This window comes from Homo sapiens, chromosome 15 (genome assembly GCF_000001405.40).
Source record: "Homo sapiens chromosome 15, GRCh38.p14 Primary Assembly".
NCBI lineage: Eukaryota > Metazoa > Chordata > Mammalia > Primates > Hominidae > Homo > Homo sapiens.
The window spans coordinates 24,349,172-24,372,822 of record NC_000015.10 but is presented as its reverse complement, the minus strand read 5'-3'; the positions used below and the strand labels follow the sequence as shown (position 1 = coordinate 24,372,822).

General features: G+C 38.3%; 1 long non-coding RNA gene across 2 annotated transcripts in view; it reads right to left on the bottom strand.

Annotated features, from left to right (window-relative positions):
* Nucleotides 1–23,651, bottom strand: part of LOC105370733 (uncharacterized) — a 440,742-nt gene that overhangs the window by 169,599 nt on the left and 247,492 nt on the right. Inside the window, exons 4-7 of one of the 2 annotated variants that reach the window (XR_007064538.1) lie at nt 15,493–15,608; nt 14,759–14,880; nt 7,478–7,638; nt 6,514–6,604 (exon numbers count right to left, since the gene is read on the bottom strand). The exons of the other annotated variant lie outside the window; for it this stretch is intronic. This is a non-coding gene — a long non-coding RNA (uncharacterized LOC105370733). The remainder of the gene's footprint in view (nt 1–6,513; nt 6,605–7,477; nt 7,639–14,758; nt 14,881–15,492; nt 15,609–23,651) is intronic. 2 annotated transcript variants of the gene reach the window in all.

Below are 23,651 nucleotides of genomic sequence, written 5' to 3'. Positions count from 1 at the left end.
ATTTTTATCCAGGTGATCAAATTAACATCAACAGTGATAAAGCCTGTTGACAGCTTGTGCCCTGGATATTATGTGATAGGAATGGTACTTTTCGTCTGTATTCTTCCTCCCCAGAAGTCCAGTCTCATCATGAGAGAAACATCAGAGTAATCCTAAATTAGAAACGTCAATGGCATCAAAAACAAGGAAATTCTGAGAAACTATCACATTCAATGGAGCCTGTAAAGCCATAATATCTAAATGTGATGACGTATCCTGGAAGAGATCCTAAAACATAAACTTAACATTAAGCAAAAACTAAAAAATCAGAATAAAGTATGTATAGTACTCAATGACAATACATGATATTGGTTGGTTAATTTTGACAAAGGTTTCACACTATGAGATTAATAATAAAGGACACTGTGCATGGAGTATATGGAAACTCTCTACTAGATTTGCAACTGTTCTGTAAATGTAAAACCACAGAACTGTTTTTTGTTTTTGTTTTTGTTTTTTGGTTTTTTTTTTGAGACACTCTCCCTCTGTTGCCCAGGCTGGAGTACAGTGGCGTGATCTCGGCTTACTGCAACCTCCGCCTCCTGGAGTCAAGCGATTCTCCTGTCTGAGCCTCCCGAGTAGCTGGGATTACAATCATCCACCACCATGCCAGGCTAATTTTTTGTATTTTTACTAAAGACAGAGTTTTGCCATGTTGCTCTAGGACTCCTGACCTCAGGTGATCTGCCCGCCTTAGTCTCCTAAAGTGCTGGGATTATAGATGTGAGCCACTATGCCCAGCCTTGGAAAACCATTCTTTAAAACTTGTTTTTTTTTTGTTGTTGTTGTTGTTAATGTCACTCCCAAGCTTAAAAAAAAATCATTAGCAATATTGTTGATACCTCCTTTGTGCATCTCCTTAATTTCTCAGTTTTCCTTAAGCACTGAACTTAATTATATTGTGAATTGTCATTCCATACTTTAAAAATAGTTTTTCCTCTTTGAGTATTTCTTAATACTATATTCTTTAGGTCTTTTTCGTCTTCAGATTTAAGTGAAGGTGTTTAATTCATTGATATTCCTAGTTTAATCATGAGAAAACATCAGCTAAAACCATATCGTGGGACATCCTATTAAATACCTGACTGGTACTTTTCAAAAGGGTCAAGGTCAAGAAAAAGAAGTGAAGGCCAGGAAACTGTTTCATAAACGAGAATACCTGATGTGTCAGGTAGACTCTAAGTTGGTGCCCATTTATCCGCACCTTCTCATATACACAACCTTCTACTGTAATCCCATCCAAGTGAGTCTAAGTAGGAATTGTGACTTGCTTTGAAACAATAGAATAGTGCAAAGGTATAGAAGTGTCACTTGGATTCTTACATATGATTATGATTTTGGTCTTGCTAGAAATGTCTCTCTTGATGGATTTTATGAAGTGTGAGAAGCCCCCTTGGCAAGGCACTTTATTTAGCCAATGGCCAACAGCCAGGAAGATAAGAGGTTTTTTGTGCAATAGACTGTTCTACAGTTGGAAATATTATATTTAAAACTAACCATACTGCCCAAAGAAGTTTACAGATTAAATGCCGTTCCTATGAAACTACTAATGACATTCTTCACAGAACTAGAAAAAAATTGTGTTAAAATTCATACGGAACCAAAAAAGAGCCCCAATAGACAAGGCAATCATAAACAAAAAGAACAAAGCTGGAGGCATCATGTTACCTGACTTCAAACTACACTACAGGGATAAAGTAACCAAACAGCATGGTGCTGCTACAACAGCAGGCACATAGACCACTTGAACAGAATAGAGAGCCTAGAAATAAAGCCACACACCTATGACCATCTGATCTTTGGCAAAGCTGACAAAAGCAAGCAATGGGGAAAAGACTCTCTATTCAATAAATGGTGCTGGGAGGACTGGCTAGCCATATGCAGAAGACTGAAACTGGACCCCTTCCTTACACCATATACAAAAATTAACTCAAGATGGATTAAAGACTTAAATGTAAAACCCTAAATTATAAAAACCCTGGAGGACAATGTAGGCAATTCCATCCTGGATATAGGAATAGGCAAAGATTTCATAATAAAAACTCTGAAAGCAATCACAACAAAAGCAAAAATTGGCAAATGCGATCCAATTAAACTTAAGAGCTTTGTACAGCAAAAGAAACTATCATCAGAGTGAACAGACAAACTATAGAATGGCAGAAAATATTTGCAACTATGCATCTGATGAAAGTATAATATCCAGCATCTATAAAAAACTTAAACAAATTTACAAGAGAAAAACAAACAACCCCATTAATAAGCAGGCAAAGCGCTGGGCGCGGTTGCTCATGCCTGTAATCCCAGCACTTTGGGAGGCCGAGGCGGGCGGATGATGAGGTCAGGAGATCGAGACCATCCTGGCTAACATGGTGAAACCCGTCTCTACTGAAAATACAAAAAATCAGCCGGGTGTGATGATACGCTCATGTACTCCCAGCTACTTGGGAGGGCGAGACAGGAGAATCGCTTGAACCCGGGAGGTGGAGGTTGCAGTGAGCCGAGATCGCGCCACTGCACTCCAGCTTGGCCAACAGAGTGACACACGGTCTTAAAAAAAAAAAGTAGGCAAAGGATAAGAACAGAACATTTTCAAAACAGGATATACATGTGGCCAACTAGCATATGAACTAAAGCTCAATATCACTGATCATTAGAGAAATGCAAATCAAAACCACATGAGATACCATCTCACACCAGTCAGAATGGCTATTATTAAAAAGTCAAAATAACAGATGCTGGTGAGGTTGCAGATAAAAAGGATCACTTACACACTGTTGGTAGGAGTGTAAGTTCATTCAACCATTGTGCAAAGCAATATGTCAATTCCTCAAAGAGCTAAAATCAGAACTACCATTCAACTCAGCAATCCCATTACAGGGTATACACCCAGAGGAATAGAAATCATTCTCCCAAAAAGACACATCCACATGAATGTTCATTGGAGCACTACTTACAAGAAAAAAGACATGGAATCAACTTAAATGCCCATCAATCACAGGATGGATAAAGAAAATGTGGTACATATATATCATGGAATACTATATAGCTGGAAAAAAAGAATGAAATCATGTCTTCTACAGGAACATGAATGGAACTAGAAGGTATTATCCTTAAGCAAACTAACACAGGAGCAGAATACCAAATTATCACATATTCTCACTTTTAAGTAGGAGCTAAATGATGAGAACTCATGAACACAAAGAACGGAACAAAGGACACTGGGGCCTACTTGTAAGTGAAGGGTAGAAGGAGGGAGAGGAGCAGAAAAAGTAAATATTGGGTAGTAGGCTTAGTACCTGGGTGATAAAATGATCTGTACAATAAACCTCCATTACACAAGGTTACCTATATAACAAATGTATCCACAAACCTAAATTCAAATATATAAAGTTAAAAAACATCAAAATAATATAAAAACTATAAAAAATAAAAAATACTAAACTGAGCTACTTTTCTAATAAAGTTATATTGCTTCACAGTTACTGTATCTTATAATAACAAATAATCCTAATTCCTTTCTCCTGTCCTTTGCATTATTGCTGATATCCACTTCATATATATATATGTGTATATATATATACATATACATGCACACATACAAACACACATGCACATGTGCATATATCTGTACACATATATACTTATACATAAGATATATGCATAGGCATATATTATTTAATAATTTTTCTATTATTTTCAAGAAATTGTTTTCTCTTATAATAAACTAAGAATATAAAAATGTTAAACCAAGAAAAAGTTAAAATTATATATAACTGATATTTTTAGAAATGCGAGAGATGGAAAAATATAAAATGCTCAATGAGAACCACAAAAGGCAGAAAATGAATGGAAGATGAAAATAGGAAGAAGGAACAAGGACAACAAATCGAAAACATTGACAAATATGATAAATATTAATCCAACTGTATCGCTTACCACTTTGAATGTCAATGGTCTAACTGCACCAAGTAAAAGACACAGATTTACAAACTGAATCAAAAAACAAGATACAACTGTTATTTATAAGCCCAACCCAAATATAAAGACAAATAAAAGTACATGAATGGAACAAAATGTACGATGCTAACTCTAATCAAAGTAAACAAGAGGACCTATATGAATTACAGGCAGAGCAGACTTCAAAGCAAGAAAAGTTATCAGGAATAAAGAAGGGCATTACATAGAGATGAAGAGCCATTCTTCCAAGAAGATGTCCTAATTCTTAAAGCCTATGAGCCTGATAACAGAGCATAAACTATGAGGCAGAAATCAAGAGAACCACAAGGAAAAAGATGAATTCAGTATTATAGTTGGAAACATTAACACGCTATAACAGATACAGACAGATCTAGCAGGCAGTAATTCAGGAGGGAAAAACTGAACTCAATAGCACCAACAAGCAACTAGGCATAACCGACACCTACAGTCTCCTTCCCTCAACTACTGCAGATGACACATTCTTCTTAAGCTCACATGGAATATTCAGCAAAATGTGCCACATTCTGGGACAAAAAATACCCTAACAACTTTTAAAAAGTAAATCATACAATGTCAGCTCTAAGACCACAGTGGAATTAAAATAGAAATCAAAGGATGAATGGAATGATAACTGTAATATCCCAAAATGCATTGAGATTAAACAACACACTTCGGTATAATATATGGGTCAAAGAAGATATCTCCAGAGAAATTTTTTTAAATTAACTAAATGAAAATAAAAACACAATTTATCAAAATTTGTAGGATGAAAGGAAAGCAGAACATAAAGGCAAATAAATACCATTGAACACATACATAGGAAACAATGAAAAGACCAAAAATCTGTCATCTGTGTTTACACCTTTGGAAACTAGAAAAAGAAGAATATATTAAATCTAAAGTCAGTAAAAGAAAAGCGATAATTTTGTTAACAGACTAAAACAAAGGAAAAGTTAAAGCAACTGGATTTTTCAAACAAATATTATCTTAATAGTTCACAGAGCACAGAGGGATCCAAAATTAACAGGGCAAACAAAGCACCCACAACACCCCCCTTGCTTACGGGCATGCAGCCATGACCCCCTCAGAAATGGGGACCCCGCACTTCAGAAATGATCAGTTTAGTCTGTTATTAAGTAAACATTCTTGTATATATTTTCATATTAATTTACCAACTCTATTTACAATCTACTTAGTTATTAGAAATATTAGACTTATTAGTGACGTGCTGTAATTGTTTTATAAACTACGGTTCAAGAAATCTATTGACGAGGAAGATATAAATTGTAGAGAGACACTTGAAATTTTTCCTGAAGTGTTAGTTTTCTAAAGACTAAGGAAAATCTATATTAAAAAAATTGTGTCCTAAAGTTAGAAATATAAGCAATGATCCCTGCAAGCCATATTACAAATTCAATTCTTTAATCTATAACATTCTTGATCTCTGTTTTTCTTCATTCTCATTCACCCTTTTAATCACACAAATGGTGATAATACATAGTCACTGTAGAAGTAGATGCATTGTGATCTTCATAAAATGCTTTGTTCTGCCCCCTTGCTACTCTGGCAAACTCTACTTTTGGACACTTGGATATTGAAATTAGTTTTCCTGTATCCTTGGGAAAATACTAAGTGAAGAAGAAACTCATACAATTCATAATTTAGGACTTTGAAATTTCACCAATAGTTTTACACTCCAGGAAGGTTGAATTACATGAATATGAAGTAATGATGTTAAATATATGAGCCATTCATCCATTGAACTACAACTCCTAATCAGGCTACAGTGTGGAGACAGCATGTTGGAATGTTTGTCTCATATTGTGGTCTAAGACTTGGGTTTGTTTGCAATGACATCTTTTTTTAGAATTGTGGTGGCCTTTGTGAATTTAGTTGCTTAGTATATTGTGGGAAATCATGCCTTCCATGCTGTTAAAGCACTTGTTTGGGCACTCAGTGCTCAGCACTCTGTCCTTTCCATGCCAATATGGCAGTAGAGTTTTGTGTATATTGCCTGTTTTCCTTTAAACTTGAGAACTCAGAACCACCATAAAGGCAATAGTCTTGGCTTTGTCTATGTCTGTGTGAGTGCAGCATGCAGACTCACGGCTTGGTAGGCTTTGTAGGCATGGTTCTTTGACACAACCCTGGTGTTAACACCGCAGAGTGCTGTGAACTATGAACAGGGACCTATGTGGGGGATAGCTGGATATTTCTTCCTGCTGTGAGATTCTTTGTTTAGCCAGAACATGTGCAGAGTCACCATTTAGCCTGGGTCCATCTCTTAGATCACTGCATGGTGGGGGGAGATCTGTTACACACTGCTTTTTCTTGTATCTACTGAGCTTTCTCCAGCCATACAAAGCATATACTGAATCACTCACATGACTTCACCTGCCAAAAACCAGTTGTCCACAGATTCATATCGGGGTCTTAGTAAGCAAGCATTGTCATCAACCACCATATTTAGAAGCATTGTTTGTGTGCCCTACTCACCTGCTGCCAGGATGACATTTATTCTGTGGTCTTTGACCCTGGAAATGGACAATATAATTCCAAGATGTGAAGAGCAACAGAATATATGGTCCTAAATAATTCATGACGAGAGAAATAGAAATTATCCCAGTGATCTGATAACCAGTTGAAGAACAAATCCCTGTACCAAGGGAAATAAAACACTCTCCTGATTGTAGAAATACAATTTGTGTTCCCTGTCACTGACATTTTGCAATATCGGCTTCTAATGTCCAGCAGTCATTTTTTCCAGAAAGGCTTTAGTGGAATTATGTGAATAAACTTCCAGACAATGTCTGAAAATGGGGCGTCCTGGGATATATGAGGAAAAGGCACCTCTCTCTGAAGAAGTGGTTACTGACACTTAAAATGTTCCTGGATAATGGGTAGCACGATTTCAAAGGCAAAAATGGATGAGAGTCCCTGGAGCTAACTGTGTTTAACTGAAGCAGGTGCACCTGCGTTCAGAATGGTGGCTAAATTAGGAAAGCTGTGCTGCTGTTCTTTCCCGACTTGCCCACCCGATCTCCTGAAAACAAGTTAATGTGCTTATGTCTTTTTGTTGGTTTTTGCTTTCCACCAAAATATTATTTTAAAATTATTTTGAAATCATATTTGACTTACAGAAGGAGGTATAATATATATAATATATAATATATATAATGCAGAGAGTTTCATATACCTTTCAGCTTAAAGGAATATTAACACGTTATATAACCATAGACTATTCATGAAAACTGAGAAATTGACAGTGTTGTAGAACTATCAATGGAACTACAGACTTTATTCATAGTTTTCTTCAGGTTTCCAATAATGTCACTTTTCTATTCCAGTATCTAATCTAGGATACCACATTACATTCAATGCCAGGTGTATTACTTAGTTATTGTTGCATAACAAATTCCCACACATCTTGGTGGCTGAAAAGCACATACACATTACTCACAGTTTCTCTTGGTCAGGAATCTAGATGGAGAAGATGGCCAAGGCTGAAGTCTCCCCTGAAGGCTCACGTGGGGAAGGATCCTCCCCAGGCTCACATGATTGTTGTTAGGATTTAATTCTGGTTCCATGTTAAGATGACTTCAATAGGAAATTATTTCATACCTTTAAAGAATACAACTTCATTATGAATTCTCTAAAAACATTAAACAACAGCAATGACAGCGGTGAAGAGATCACTCCCTATGCACACTATGAGGTATTTTATCCTCATACCACAATTAGACCAAAACATTTCAAGAAAGGAAAATTAAGACCAATATGCCTTATGAATAAAGAGGCAAAAATCCTTAAGGAAATAATAGCAAAACAAATCAGCAACATGCAAAAATATTATACACTATTGCTAAGGGTATTTCCTCAGGAATGCAAATTTTGTTCAATATACAATTCATGCACTGTATTAATGGAATAAAGCACGGAACCTATACGATCATCTCAAAGACAAAGAATAAGCACTTGACAAATCAAAAACACATTCATGATAAAGATATGCAGCAAATTAGGACTGTAAAGAAACTGTCTTCACTTTAAAGCATCCAAAAAAATAAAAACCCTCACATGATATAAAAGTTTTCTGAAAGGCTCAATACTTTCTCCAAGATTAGAAATAAGACAAAGAATTTCATTCTGGCCACAATTCTTCCCCACATTATGCTAGAGGATGTAGCAAGGACAATTAGTAGAGAAAAATGAATATAAGACATCTGGCATAAAAGAAAGTAAAACTCTGTTGGCAATTGACATAATTTGTTTACAGAACATCAAAATGACTCTAATAAAATAGAATGCAAATTAAAATATAAGTTCAATACAGTTCCAGTACACAAGGTTAGTATACAGAAATATGTACTTCTATATAGTAGAAATTAACAAACTAAACAAAAATCTCAGAAACCCATGCTATTTAAAATAGCACCAAAAAGGAAAAACACATAACAATAAATTTAACAAAATACGCATATGACATGTATATTAAAACTGTAAAATATATTAAATGTAATTAATAAAATTCTATAAAAATGGACAAATGTTGAATGATCATTGATTAAAAGGCTTGATATTATTAAGTTGACAATACTTTTTCTATGACTGTATAGATTTAATGCAATTTCCATGAAAATCCCAGGTGACCTTTTTTCACTAACTTATCAAACAGATTTTAAATTGTATATATAATGCAATAGAGAATTGTTAAAATAATTTTGAAAAAAAAAATGGAATTTGTAAAATAGACTCATACTTCCTGATTTTAAAATTAAAGACAAAGCCATACTAATTAACATGTGTGGTGTAGACATACAGATAAATAGAATAAAATTGAATATCAAAAAGTTAACCTTTACATTTACGGTCAAATAATTTTACAAGGGCTCCAAGTAAATTCAATACGGAAAAGTATTTTTTTCATCAACGGATTCTGGGACAAGTCAACATTATCAACATTATCAACAGGCAAGTTAAACTCCTCCCTCACAGTATATGCATAAATAGTACAAATTAGTCACTAATATGGTTTGGACTTGTGTCCCTGCCCAAATCTCATGCCACATAGTAATCCCCAATGTTACAGGAGGGGCCTGGTGGGAGGTGATTGGATAATGGGGGAAGATTTCCCCTTGCTGTTCTCATGACTGTAAGTGAATGAGATATCGTTATTTAAGTGTGTAGGACCTCACCCTTCTTTCTCTTCTTCCTTCTCAGGCCATAAAAGATGTGTCTGCTTTCCCTTCTCCTTCTGCCATGATTGTAAGTTCCTGAGGCCTCCCCAGCCATGTTTCCTCTACAGCCTGCAGAACTATATGAGTCAATTAAACCTCTTTGCTTTATAAATTACCCAGTTTCAGATAGTTCTTTATAGCAATGCAAGAAGGCTAATACAGAAAATTGCTACTGGGAGTGGGGCATTGCTATAAAGATACTTGAAAAGTGGAGGTGACTTTGATACCGGGTAATGAGCAGAGGTTGGAACAGTCTGGAGGGGGTCAGAAAAAGACAGGAATATGAGGAGAAGTTTGGAACTTTCCAGAGACTGGTTAAATTTTTGTGACCACAATGCTGATAGTGACATGGACTATGAAGTCCAGGCTGAGGTGGTCTCAGATGGAGATGAGGAACTTATTGGGAACTAGAGTAAGGGTCACTCTTGTTATGTTAGCACAGAGACTGGTGGCATTGTGCCCCTGCTCTAGGGATCTGTGGAACTTTGAATTGGAGACTGATGATTTAGGGTATCTTGTGGAAGAAATTGCTAAGCAGCAAAGTGTTCAAGATGTGGCCTGGCTGCTTCTAACAGTGTATTGTCATAGTGTGAGCAAAGGGATGCTATGAAACTAAAACTTATATTTAAAAAACAGGCAGAGCATAAAAGTTTAGAAAATTTGCAGTCCAGCCATTTTGTAAAAAAGAAAAACCTGACGAGGTACTGTGGCTCATGCCTGTAATCCCAGCACCTTAGGAAGCTGAGGTGGGTGGATCATAAGGTCAGGAGTTCAAGACCAGCCTGGCCAATATGGTGAAACCTCGTCTCTACTAAAAATACAAAATTTAGCTGGGCGTGGTGGCACATGCCTGTAGTCCCAGCTACTCAGGAGGCTGAGGCAGAAGAATTACTTGAACCCGGGAGGTGGAGGTTGCAGTGAGCTGAGATCGCACCACTGCACTCCAGCCTGGGCAACAGAGTAAGACTTGTCTCAAAAAAAAAAAAAAAAAGTAAAACAATAAAAGACGAATCCATTTTCTGGGGAGGAATTCAAGCCAGCTGTAGAAATTCGCATAAGAGGAGCCAAATTAGCCAGGCATGGTGGCTCACGCCTGTAATCCCAGCACTTTGGGAGGCTGAGATGGGTGGATCACGAGGTCAGGAGATTGAGACCATCCTGCCTAACAAGGTGAAATTCCAACTCTATTATAAAATACAAAAAATTAGCCGGGCATGGTGGTGGGTGCCTGTAGTCCCAGCTGCTCGGGAGGCAGAGGCAGGAGAATGGTGTAAACCTGGGAGGATGGAGCTTGCAGTGAGCTGAGATCGCACCACTGCACTCCAGCCTGGGTGACAGAGCGAGACTTGTCCATCTAAAAAAAAAACAAAACAAAACAAAAAGAAAGAGAAACTGAATTTTAATACCCAAGACAATAAGGAAAATGCCTCAAAGCCACTTCAGAAACCTTCCCATCAGCCCCTCCCATCATAGGCACAAAAGCCTAGGAGAAAATAATTGTTTCAAGGACCAAGCTCAAGGCCTTGGTGCCCTGTGCAACCTTGGGCCACTGCTCCCTGTGCCCCAGCTGCTCCAGCTCCAGGTATGATTAAAAGGTCCCCAGATACTTATCAGTCCATGCTCCAGGAGGTGCAAGCCATAATCCTTGGCAGTTTCCACGTGGTGTTAAGCCTGAAGGTACACAGAGGGAAAGAGTTGAGGCTTGGGAGCCTCTGCCTAGGTTTCAGAGAATGTATGGAAATGCCTCGATGCCCAGGCAGAAGTCTGCTGCAGTGATGGAGCCCTTAGGGAAAACCTGTACTAGGACAGCACAGAGAAGTATAGAGTTGGAGCGTCGAGAAACAGTCTCCACTGGGGGCCTAGTGGAACTGTGAGAAGAGGGCCACTGTCCTCCAGAACCCAGAGTGGTATATCCACCAACAGCTTGCACTATGTGCCTGGAAAAGCCACAGGCACTCAATGCCAGCCCTTGAGAGCAGCCACAATAGATGAGCTCTGCCAAGCCAGAGAGGCAGAGCTGCCCAAGGCCTTGAAAGCCCTTACCTTGCATCAGTGAGGCCTGGATGTGAGATGCAGATTCAAAGGAGATCATTTTGGAGCTTTAAGATTTAATGACTGCCCTACTGGGTTTCAAACTTGCATGGGGCCTGTTGTCCCTCCTTTCCAGCTGATTTATAACTTTTGGAATGAGTGTATTTACCCAATGCCTGTACCCCCATTGTATATTGAATGTAATGACTTTGCTTTTGATTTTACAGGCTCATGGGTAGAAGGGACTTGCCTTATCTCTGATGAAACTTTGGACTGTGGACTTTTGAGTTAATGCTGAAATGAGTTAAGAGTTGGGTGACTATTGAGAAGGAATGATTGTATTTTGCAATATGAGAAAAAAACATGATATTTAGGAGGGGCCAGGGGCAGGATGATATGGTTTAGATTTGTGTCACCTCCCAATCTCATGGCAAATTGTAATCTCCAATGTTGGAGGAGGGGCCTGGTGCGAGGCGACTAACTCATGGGGGTAGATTCCCCCTTTCTGTTCTTATGATAGTGAGTTATCACAAACTGTGGTTGCTTAAAACTGTGTGGCACTTCCTTCTTCTATCTATTCCTCTTTCTCCAGCCATGTAAGATGTGCTTGCTTCCCCTTTTCCTTCCACCATGATTGTAAGTCTCCCCAGTCATGCCTCCTGTACAGTCTGTAGAATTGTGGATATAGTAAACCACTGTTCTTTATTACTTACCCAGTCTCAGGTAGTTCTTTATAGCAGTGTGGGAACAGACTAATACAATCATACACCTAAAAAGCCAAAACTAAAAACAAAAACAAATTGTTTAACAAAGGTTAAACAATGATTTCTAAGATATGACAACTAATGCACAAGAGGAAGGAGAAAATAGATATATTGAAACATCACTAATAACATACATCATAATGTAAAGTACATAACAAAAGAAACAATTTAAAAATGGGAGAAAAGTCTTTGTATGTCAAATATCCAATAAGAATTTATAATCCAGAATATATTACATCTTAAAACGCAAAAATCCAAAGGCAAATGCTCCAATCAAAAATAGAAAATTTGAACAGTCATGTCTCCAAAGAAGCTATAGTAATGTTTAATAAGCATATGGAAAAATGCTCAATGCCTCTGTCATTAGGGAAATGCAAATCCCAACCATAAGATATCCTTTACTAATCCTAAAGGCATATGAGTAAGTCCAAAAAGCAATTTGGAAAAAGCAAAATACTTTTTTTTAACATAATATATGACACTCTAGAAAAGGCACAAGGATAGAGAAAGTAAAGAGTTTATTGGTTACCACGGTCTCAGCCAAAAGGAAAGACAAATCTGTAAAGATAGAAAATTTCCTTTTGTATATTATTATGTATGCTACTGTAATGTGGATAAAAGATACAGGTTTTCAACTCCCACAAAACTTTATAACACAAAGAGTGAACCTGAAAGTATGTAAATTAACAAAAAAAACTTATTTAGTAGATAGGAACAGCCCAGGAAGAAATGCAGAGAAAATACTTTATACAAATCTATGAAATAATCCACTGAAGGAAGGGGAAAAAGAAGCTGACCTAAGCAACTGACATAATAAGTGCAGATTCTGTCTAAAGGCTAAAGGATTTATACATAAGCAGTTGGTATACATAAACAGGTGGTAAGGGTGTTTCTCATGGGGTTGTATGTTTCTTATTCTGAAACCACTATGCCTGCATTTTCAGGTGGTTAAATATTACAGTGGTAGGCTACATACAGATTAGTGAGATGGGTAGACAAATTCACATAGTGCTGAATAAGACTGTGTGGGACGGAGGAGGCTGTAGGAATTCATGTTTAATTTAATGCAGATACATATGGAGACTTGTAGAAATTTGTAAACATATGTGTATATTTACTCTTTGCTCTGTTAGCTAACAAGGCCTCCAATCAACACATTCCCCAGTAACAATGTGTACAACCAATGAGTGTCCAAATCTTTTTTAATTTCATTCTCCAACAAAAAAGATAGGGACCTGTGAGAAAAAGCTCAATAATAGACTTGAACAGGGACTAAATACAATTAGCCTGGAGTATCTAGTGGTGATCAAACAACAAAATGCTCAAAAACAATGCAACCAATGAATCAGCCACATAACAATGTTAAATTTTAAATATGGTGGTATTTCAAAATGACAGGGGACTCAATTGAAAGACTTTCTGATGGCATTCAGCCTTATACTGAGGGTTTAACCAAGGTTTTCTCTGGTTTGAGCATTTTGGACTTAGACTATGGTACCCAACAAGCATCCTAGGATCTCCAGCTTTACATGGCATGTGGTGGAAACGGTCAGCCTCCATAATCATGTGATTCAGTTCCCCTAAAAATCCCTATCTATCTATCTATCTATCTATCTATCTATCTACCGCTAGCTCCTACGTGTCTATCCTATTGGTTCCATTGCTCTCGATAACCCTGACTAGTATAGACTTTGGTAGTATGAACGGTTCTATACAAAGAGAATTTTAAGCATGAGTGTCCTTAATCAAATTTGGGGTTTCTAGAATTGGCTTTCTAATCTGATTGGACCTAAATTCTAAGAACTGTACTTTTAACAGTAGAAAGAGCAATGACAGTCAATGACATGAACTGTTTTTAGAGATCCCCAAAATATCTGCATTTGATACTCTTAATTAAACACTGATAAGAGGCAAGGTACTTGTTTACTCTGTATGTGATACAGACATTTGTTTAAAACCATGGCACATAATGATGACGGGTTTCTTGCTTCTAATTTCACTGGGAAATTTGATGAAAGACAATAATGAGCTTAGGGATTCAATTTTGCAGAACCAGCTCCACATAAACAGCCTAAGAGTTTCTACCTGTGCTCTGAGCCAGAAAACTCTCTTGTAGCCACAGGGAAGTATTTGCTAAAGGTCAAACACAAGCCCATATCATGCCACTGGCTGAATTACAAGAAACATTGAACTGAGTCTGGCAGGGTGTCTACTGTTGAAGTGGAAGTTGATAAGGAATAGCATCCTGTAACTTGGGATGACGATGTATGGGAAGACTGATGTGGCTGGGGACATTGATCTCCTAAATTCTAATGAGTTTTTATTGCCAGCAGAAGTGGCCTCCTCACAGCCACCCCCTTGGCAATGGCCTTCCCACACAAGGTGATGTAGGCCTTTCCATATACGTCTGAGTAGCTTACAGCTACAATGCCTAAGGAAACGGTAATGGCTTCCCCTGAAGCAGCTGTCAAGCAATACATTGCTGATTATCTTCAAGACCCACCCCTGACAGCTGTGTTTCTTCTAGACTCATGGTGAGACTAAAGTTACAACAGGCCCCTAAAGCTGATGGATAGTATTTCCCATGAGGAGGTGTGATCTATGTCAAAAAAGCTACCTGAGTTTTCTAACTAATGCAAACAGAAATCTGAAGACCCTATGTGGAAATAAAGATTATGGCTGTGGATAGCTGGGTGTGGTGGCTTGTACCTGTAGTCCCGGCTACACGGGAGGCTGAAGTGGGATGAATGCTGGAACCCAGGTGTTTGAAGCTGCAGTGAGTCACGACTGTACCACTGCACTCCAGCCTGGCCAAAAGAACAAGACCTCATCTGTAAGAAACCAAAACAAGAAAAAAAAAGTGTTGATAACAGTAGAAGGAATATAAACTTGAATCAGTCCAAATTTAATGATATGGGGCCATTAAGCAGATATTCCGGTTTAATGTTGCAGCTTCGGTATTTAAGGATGGTAGTAGTAGTGTTATGACTGGTTGGCTGAAATATAGTTCAACAGATGTATGACCATGAGCAAGTCAGTGATTCCCGCATCTTCCCTGCATTATGTTGGATGAAGGAATTCATAGGCCTGGAGAGACAGGAATGCTAGAATGGATTTCCCACTTAAAAGCAACTTACAGCAGGGCATAGTGGCTCATGCCTGTAATCCCAGCACTTTTGGAAGCCGAGACAGGTCCATCACTTGAGGTCAGGAGTTTAAGACCAGCCTTGCCAACACAGTGAAACCCCATCTCTACAATAAAACTACAAAAATTAGCCAGACATGAGGCACACACCTGTTGCCCCAGCTACTCAGGAGGCTGAGGCAGGAGGATGGTTTCAATCGAGGAGGCAGAGGTTGCAGTGAGCTGAGATCATGCCATTGCGCTCCAGCCTGGGCAAAAAAGGTGAGACTCTGTCTCTAAATAAATAAATGCAACTTACCAGTATTGATAGACTCCAGAAAACAGACTGTTTATCGGGACTTTGTTAGGTAGATTTGTGTGGGGAGCTGGGAACAGCTGAAGAGCTCTTTGATCTCTCTTCTCGGTAGACCAGACCTTAATATAGAAACCAGAGTACACCAATTGGAAAATCAAAATGCAATGGGAATAACTGGGTTACAGGGAAACCTGGGAGCAAGTAGCAACACTCAGTCTTCAAAGACAAGGTTGGCATAGTTATCTCAATGGACAGCAAAGGCGAAGCAACAATCAGGTTCATCTGATTCCTATAGATTTATGTTGCTGGCTAGTTTATAATAGTGTCCTTGGAATTCAAGTACACAGGTAGCCTACTAAATGCTTACTGGATTTGAAAAAGCAGAAAATCTTTAGATCAAATGAACAAGATTCTGCCTCAAATCCTAAGAACCAGAGACTCACAGAACCTCACTCAATTCTCACAACTGAGCCAGTATAGAAGAAATTTTGTATGCAATTAACTAAGCCATAATTAAAAAGGAACTGTTAATAATAGTCTTTCTAAAGAATGGTCCCCTATGTTAAATCAAGATTTTCTTAAGATATCAATTTACTCTTAATAAAATTACAGTAAACTTTGATTTTCTGTTCTATAATCTACTTCTTTTGAAAACTTCTGAGATTCATATCTCAAATGTTCAATTGTTGTCTTGCTACTATCAGCTTTTTCTCCCTTTGATGTGGCCTGGGATGATAACTCTATCCTTCAGCTTCTTGTCAGCTCCTGTAACTTTTCTCCTTACTTCTAAATGTTGTTGTGGCTGATGCTGAAATATTTTATCTTAGAGGTCTATAAAAGAAATGTTTTCCTCCAGGATAACCTGATTGTATACTCTTGATTTTTTTCTTGTTGTTGTTTTTGGTGTGTCTAAATTTTCACTGTAATCAGGAAACTTATCATGCAGCTACTAAGAGTCATGTATTCCCCAGTTCTACTCAAAACCTTGTACACACTCTTCCCATGTTTGATTAAATTCAAGCACTTGTTATCTTAAGTTGTACTTCCAGATTATCTAAATGGGCTTTCTTCTAAGGAGAGGCAGTCACACTAAAAAAGGTTTTCCTTTGACTTTTTGGTAACTGGCTTAAGAAACAAGATTTTACATTTTATCAAGATAGTTCCTATGCTGCCTTTATTAAGTGTTTAATTGCTTTTAAAAAACCCCTGAAATTTGAGAGGAGTAAGGATTTTATACCCGTGTAACTTTTTCTATTGCCTTTAAAGTCTTTCAAAGATCACTTTGGTTAAATGAATAACTATTCATTTACAAGGAACTGTGGTTCAGTTTTGATCAAATATTTTAAGCTTTCTCACATCTTTCACAGACATCTCCAAAACTGAATCCTAAATTAAGTCTCTGACTTCTTGCTGTCACTTATCAAAGCTAAAAAACATTAATCACTATGCAGTGTATCACCACCTCCAATACCCTGAAAAAGTTCTTATCAGGTGCTATTAACTAATCATTGTCATGCTAAGGTACAAGGAACTGACTCCTGGATACATGTAGCTCCTCTAAAGAAGACACAGACTCCTGCCAGCATCTAAGATCAAACTCAACTTAACCAAAGCCTCATCTTTAGACTCAAGCAAAGGCAATAATCAAAGTACACTGCTTTCATGCAACACAGGGACAGGCATGTATTAAACTTTATTTAATAATTTACCTTCTATCTGAAATAGAAATACAAGAAATATAATTTATTCTGTGCCTTAATACTAAATAATTTAAATGTTTATCTACCTATAGGATTCCTTTCCCGTCACTCATTCTTTTTTTTTGAGACGGACTCTTGCTCTGTTGCCCAGGCTGGAGTGCAGTGGCGTGATCTTGGCTCACTGCAATCTCTGCCTCCCGGGTTCAAGCAATTTCCCTGCCTCAGCCTCCTGAGTAGCTGGGACTACAGGCGTGCACCACCACGCCAAGCTATTTTTTTGTCTTTAAGTAGAAACGGGGTTTTACCATGTTGGCCAGGATGGTCTCGATCTCCTGACCTCGTATGCCTGTCTCAGTCCTGTCACTCTTGGAACAAGACAAGGCTTATGGCATTTTTTGCTAAAATGTTGTTAATGGTGAATATTTTGTTTCATTAATATATCCAGAATTTAAAACGGTTCAATTTCTCCAGACCCAGGGACTATCATGGAAGATACGAATGCATGAGTTTGTAAGGGCTGGTTCTTGTGGAATAAAATTAATTCAGACCCCCCAAATAAAGGATGGGCATACAGATGCCTAAACAGCTAAATAAAATACTTATGTTTTCTATAGCTATGGTTCCTATAAGCCAAGATTACAACAGCTCAATGCATAAAGTTCAGAGACAATTCAGTTACATAACCTTACCTTTTGACTTTTAGTTTTTGGCTCTTACATTGCTTAAAAGGGGTTTTAAGGATTAATGACAGCCTGCCGCATTCATTCCAGTCTGGCCTACAGACTGGAATTGGATATAATTGGATATAAGACTTACGATTCTAAGTCCCTTGGCCATAGTGGTAGCACCAAGAAACATGATGGACACAGGTCAGGTAGCATGCTGCTCTGCCATTGACATGAGAGAAAATAAAAGTGTGGCTACCAATACTGTCTCTGGCATACCTTGACAAAAAACGAGAATATAAACTATAAAAGAAAGTCCTAAGCCCCCACCAACTTAATGGACAAACCCTACCCCCATGTTACCCAAAGCAACCTGAAAAACTAATTCAGGCCATGACAACAAGAGGTGTGATGAACAAGCTTCACTACACCTTCCTCCCATTATGGGAATTTGGGCACAACTGATCAGCATTAACGTTACAATAAAAACTGTAAAACAGACTCTTTATAACAATAAAATACTAAACTATGAACAGGACTTAAGAACGTGCCAGGCAAGAGTTAAGTCTCACATTCCTACACTTTAAAAAAAGCAGACTATGTTTACAACTGCCACAAGGTTTCTGTGTTTCTCTAGCAGCCAAGCAAGCATTAGCCTCAAGATAAGGTGACTGACTGACCCCAGACACTGTTCCACCAGCCATAACTACAGATTGAAGTAGACAAGGGACCAATTTCGGTAATTTTCTCCTGATAAAAGATCACTCACCATAAACTAGTTTTGGCCGGTTTACAGTAAATACACACTTGCATGCCTTTGTCTAAAAAGAACTTTTGAAATATAGGGCATAATTATAATACATTTAAAAGTTAAGTCTCTGCCCCAAAATCAATGAGTCATATGTTCCATGGATATTTGTTAATACATAGGTCAGCACCACCTTCATGAACATTTACAACTCCTCCTGTAGCCTGTTAAGTATGTATAGTTAACCAACTTGTCCTCATATCTCCACAGGAGCTCTGGGTAAACTGACATTTGGGGATTTGCACTATAATTAAGACTAAATGCTGTGTGTACTTCCTGGGTAACTCCAGAAACATATCCTCAGCCCTAAAAGACATGCACAAGCAAACTAATGCTATGTCTAATCTCATGATGTCTTTAAATCATATGGCTTTAGATATCTTCACTGCAGCCCAGGGTGGCACTTCTGCATTCATTAAGGCTGACCATTTTACACACATACACACACACACACACACACACACACACAAGATTATTCTCACAATATAACCCAAGCTATGCATGTAGATACCCATATTTCTGCTATAGATGCCCTCTCTCAGGACTCTATGGCATCATGATTTAGTCGGCTTCCTGGTGCATAAAATACTTTTATATATATTATTAATACTGCTAAACGCCCTCTTCAGCTGCTATGAATTTTATTGCTGCTGTACACTCTGCATGGAGATGCAGGAAATCATTCTCAGAAATTCTTGGATCCACACACCATACATGCATAGTAAGTTCCTGCTGAAAACTCAAGAATATTTCCAACTCCAGGTACACAGATTCCATTCTAATGCTCTATAACTAGACCACTTTCAGTAGCAAGCAGACCAAATGAATATGATGCTCCAATTGAATAAAAATAAAGTGGAATTTGACAGTGGGGTGTTGTAAACAAGTACTTCATTTTCCTTAAAAAATATTTACTTTTTCTTTTTCCTGTGTGTTCATGTCTTACTTAGCTCCTTAGAAATGCAAATTCAAACTTTTCCCTCCTTCCTTTCCACCAGCCAAATCACAAGCAAGCACTGTCAGCTTAGCTAAGTATACGTTTGTTTAGAAATTACCAAATCTTGAACGAAAATAAGCATCCACCAGAATTCTCCTCCACAAGAGAGATTGTCTCAAGACATCAGTTAATCCACAACCTGACTCTGTCCCCAGTGATGCTGGGCAGGCTAACGAATGACTCATGACTAGAGATAAGTCATCCATCGAGTCATGCAGATCCTACACCTCCACACCCCTTCTGCGTGCCCTGCTTGCCAATTTTTCTTCTTAAAGCTCTGTTTTCTGCCCAGAAAACTTACATGGTTCCTTTAGATATGAATCCAGCCCTTCCACATTGCTAAGCTCGGGAATAAAGTGACTTTCTTTTTTTTTTTTTTTTTTTTGGAGACGGAGTCTCGCTCTGTCCCCCAGTAGCTGGGATTACAGGCACACGCCACTGTGCTTGGCTAAATTTTGTATTTTTAGTACAGACAGGGTTTCGCCATGTTGGCCAGGCTGGTCTTGAACTCCTGACCTCAGGTGATCATCCCGCCTCGGCCTCCCAAAGTGCTGGGATTACAGGTGTGAGCCACCGCGCCCGGCCAGTGACTTTCTTTTTACTACCCTTCTGTTACTTGATTTTGGAAGTGGCCATGGCCAAACCTGGGTTTCGTAACAAAATGGTGCCAGGCTGTCGTACAACAGATGAGGGGTACATTTTCCTTCAAGCAGGATCTGTCAATTCTGTGTACAGCACTGAAGCCCACAGACCCAGACTGCTGCCATATCTAGCAGGGCAAGTGCCCATCTATTATTACATATTCCCATAAAATACCAGTGTTTTGCTGTGTTGATTGCTTATGTCTCACACATCTTGAACAAATGTCTCCAAACTTGCCTCAGTTTTGACTAAGAAAACAAAAGTAAAATCTAAAAAATTCACAAGCATGAAAACCTTTTGAGACTATTAAACCGGATGAAAATGACAATAAATAAAATATTGAAATTCATTTTTGTAAGCTAATGGCACAAAAATATTTTCTGATCACAGCACATGAGGTACACATTTTCTAACTGGTATTTTTTCTATCACTGAGAACTAAAATCGAATTTAATCATCAGTCATCAAAAATAAGAAAATAATTCATATCTAATAGAATGGGTGATCCATACAGAGAACTGTCATGTACACGTACACGGAGGTGAGGTGGAAGGAATTATGGAGTCCAGTCAATGTCTACATCTTTTGTACAAGGAGAATATGAAACAACATCATGAAGTTCACACCAGCATGGTTAAGAAGACGTTGCTCCTTGCATTCAGATGTGAAGTCTAACTTTCCTGCCACACAAATCAATACCTTGTTAACCTTTCACATGTACAGCAAACTAAGCCATAGAATAGAAAGTTTGACAGATCTTTTTAAGCATAAGAAGATCTTTTTAATGTGGGACAATTTTGCCTTGTGGCTTACAGAATAGTTTCTGTCCTTCTATTTAACCAGAGCTATTTAAGGGGAAATTTCTGGAAAATCATAAAACAGAATGTGTAACGTCTGTCGCTTCTAATAAAAATGATATTAACGTTCAATTTATGAAAGGGAAATAGGAGTAAAGATGAAAATAATTGATATGGTTCATTGAAAAATAATTATGAATGCATTTTTAAAATAGACAAATAACGGCCTTAAATCTATGATACAAAAAAAACATTTGGTTTTAGATGATATTTATATGACCAACAAAAGAGAATATTTATACAAAAGCGTTTAAGACATTTGCACAACAAATTAAATCAAAATCAAGGAGAAATATCACAATGTAAAATCTAAAGTCTTAAGGTGTCATTGGTCAGCAAGCAGAATCATTTTTGAACAAACTCAGCCTTTTTTTTTTTTTTTTTTTTTTTTTTTGAGACGGAGTCTCGCTCTGTCGCCCAGGCTGGAGTGCAGTGGCGCGATCTCGGCTCACTGCAAGCTCCGCCTCCCGGGTTCACGCCATTCTCCTGCCTCAGCCTCCCGAGTAGCTGGGACTACAGGCGCCCGCTACCACGCCTGGCTAATTTTTTGTATTTTTAGTAGAGACGGGGTTTCACCGTGTTAGCCAGGATGGTCTCGATCTCCTGACCTCGTGATCCGCCCGCCTCGGCCTCCCAAAGTGCTGGGATTACAGGCGTGAGCCACCGCGCCCGGCCTCAGCCTTTTTTAAAAGACTTGAATTCCCTACCTCACCCCACAACCAAGGCAGGGAGGCGCTGTCCTTGTGCATGCAGAGCCCCCAGAGAGGCTCTGAGCTCAGAGGCTCCCCTGTGAACCTGTCTTTGTTGGGCATGGTCTGGAGGGGGACTCTGTTCACAGAATCATCTACAGCAGGGCAGTAGGCAGCCAGGGCTGCCTCTCCAGGTTTTCAACAACATTGGCTGTTGTCTAAGATACTAAATACATAAAGTGGATAGTGGTGTTGGGAGACTGCCTAAGATTCACAAGGACGTAGAGATTTCAGAGTCAATAGCAACGTTCTAAAGTTGTATATCCACAGCCTCATTCAAGGTACAGCTGAAAGGATTGCTGTAGGTGCAAGGCATGCACGTCTGAACTTCTTTCACCTCATTATAGAGCAGCTCAGTGATTAAAAGAACAGGCCCTGGGCCAGGCACAATGGATCACGCTTGCAATTCCTATGCTTTGGGAGACTAAGGAGGGTGGATTGCTTAAGGCCAGGAGTTCTAGATCAGCCTGGGCAACAAAGAGAGACCTCCTCTCCATTAAAAAGAATTAAAAATTAGCCGGGCATGGGGGCTTGCACCTGTAGTCCCAGCTACTCAGGAGGCTGAGCGGGGAGGATCACTTGAGTCCAGCAGCTCACACACAGAATGTGTTCCATGTTTGTGCCACTGTACCCCAGTTGGTGTGACAGAACAAAATTATCTCTTAAAAAAGAAGAAAAAGAACAATCTCTAGAGAGAAAATTCTTGAATAGACTCTCTTAATAATAAGAGTGTGGTACTTGCACAGAGATAGAATAAACAACCAATAACTTAAAAATCAGACATATGCATATATAAGCATATATTTAAGTTGCTGCATGGGGGAAACTTGGATTTTTATTAAAATGTTCCAGGGTATTGAATATCCACAGGGAGAAATTAGAATCTGACCTATGACCTGACATTACACACAAAATTAATTATACTTGGTTCATAGACATAAATATAAAAATATTTAGTAGAGTATACAGAACACAATTCAGGAAAATAACTTCAAGACCACGAGGTAGGCTAAGCTGTCTGAAACTAGACCTGAAAAGCATTTACCATGTAAGACAAAACATAATCTATGTAGTTGATGTGAGCAAAGACTGTGGGGCATATAGAATCAAACTCAAGGTTCCTTTAGGCCTCTCCTTTCGAGAGTTAGCTCAGACTTGGAAATGGACCAGAGGAGCGGGAATAGTGCTTACTTCCTGAGATGGCAGGTGGATTGTATGAAATGATAACATATAAACCACGTAGTATCTTACTAAGCCTACACTAACCCCAAAAAACAAATATTCTAATAAATTGTGAGATGTATCAATTGCATCAGTTGTAATGTGTCATTATTTCCTATATCAGAATGAAAGAACAAAATCACTAACAATGAAACTAATACTTTTATCATGTGGAAATACACTGTATAATAATAACATCATTATATTATAATTATTGGAAAAAAAGCTGTTTTCAAGACATATATCTGTGGATATTTGTCTTGTCTTTTGTCACTCCTATGATTACATGGGATGGAACATATAAGGAAAATACACCAACAAAGGTTTTCCTAAATTTCCTCCCATTCAGATCCAACTCTCCTAAATCACTCTTCAATTCATCTTGCTCATGGTGTTCCCCATGTTATCATCATTTGTGCTAATCTGAGGATTTGGTGATGCTGCATTTCCTGTGAGATTCCTACCTTGCTCCTGCGAGTCTCTATTTTCAACCTTCTGAAACCTCCTGTGCAAGATTTGATGC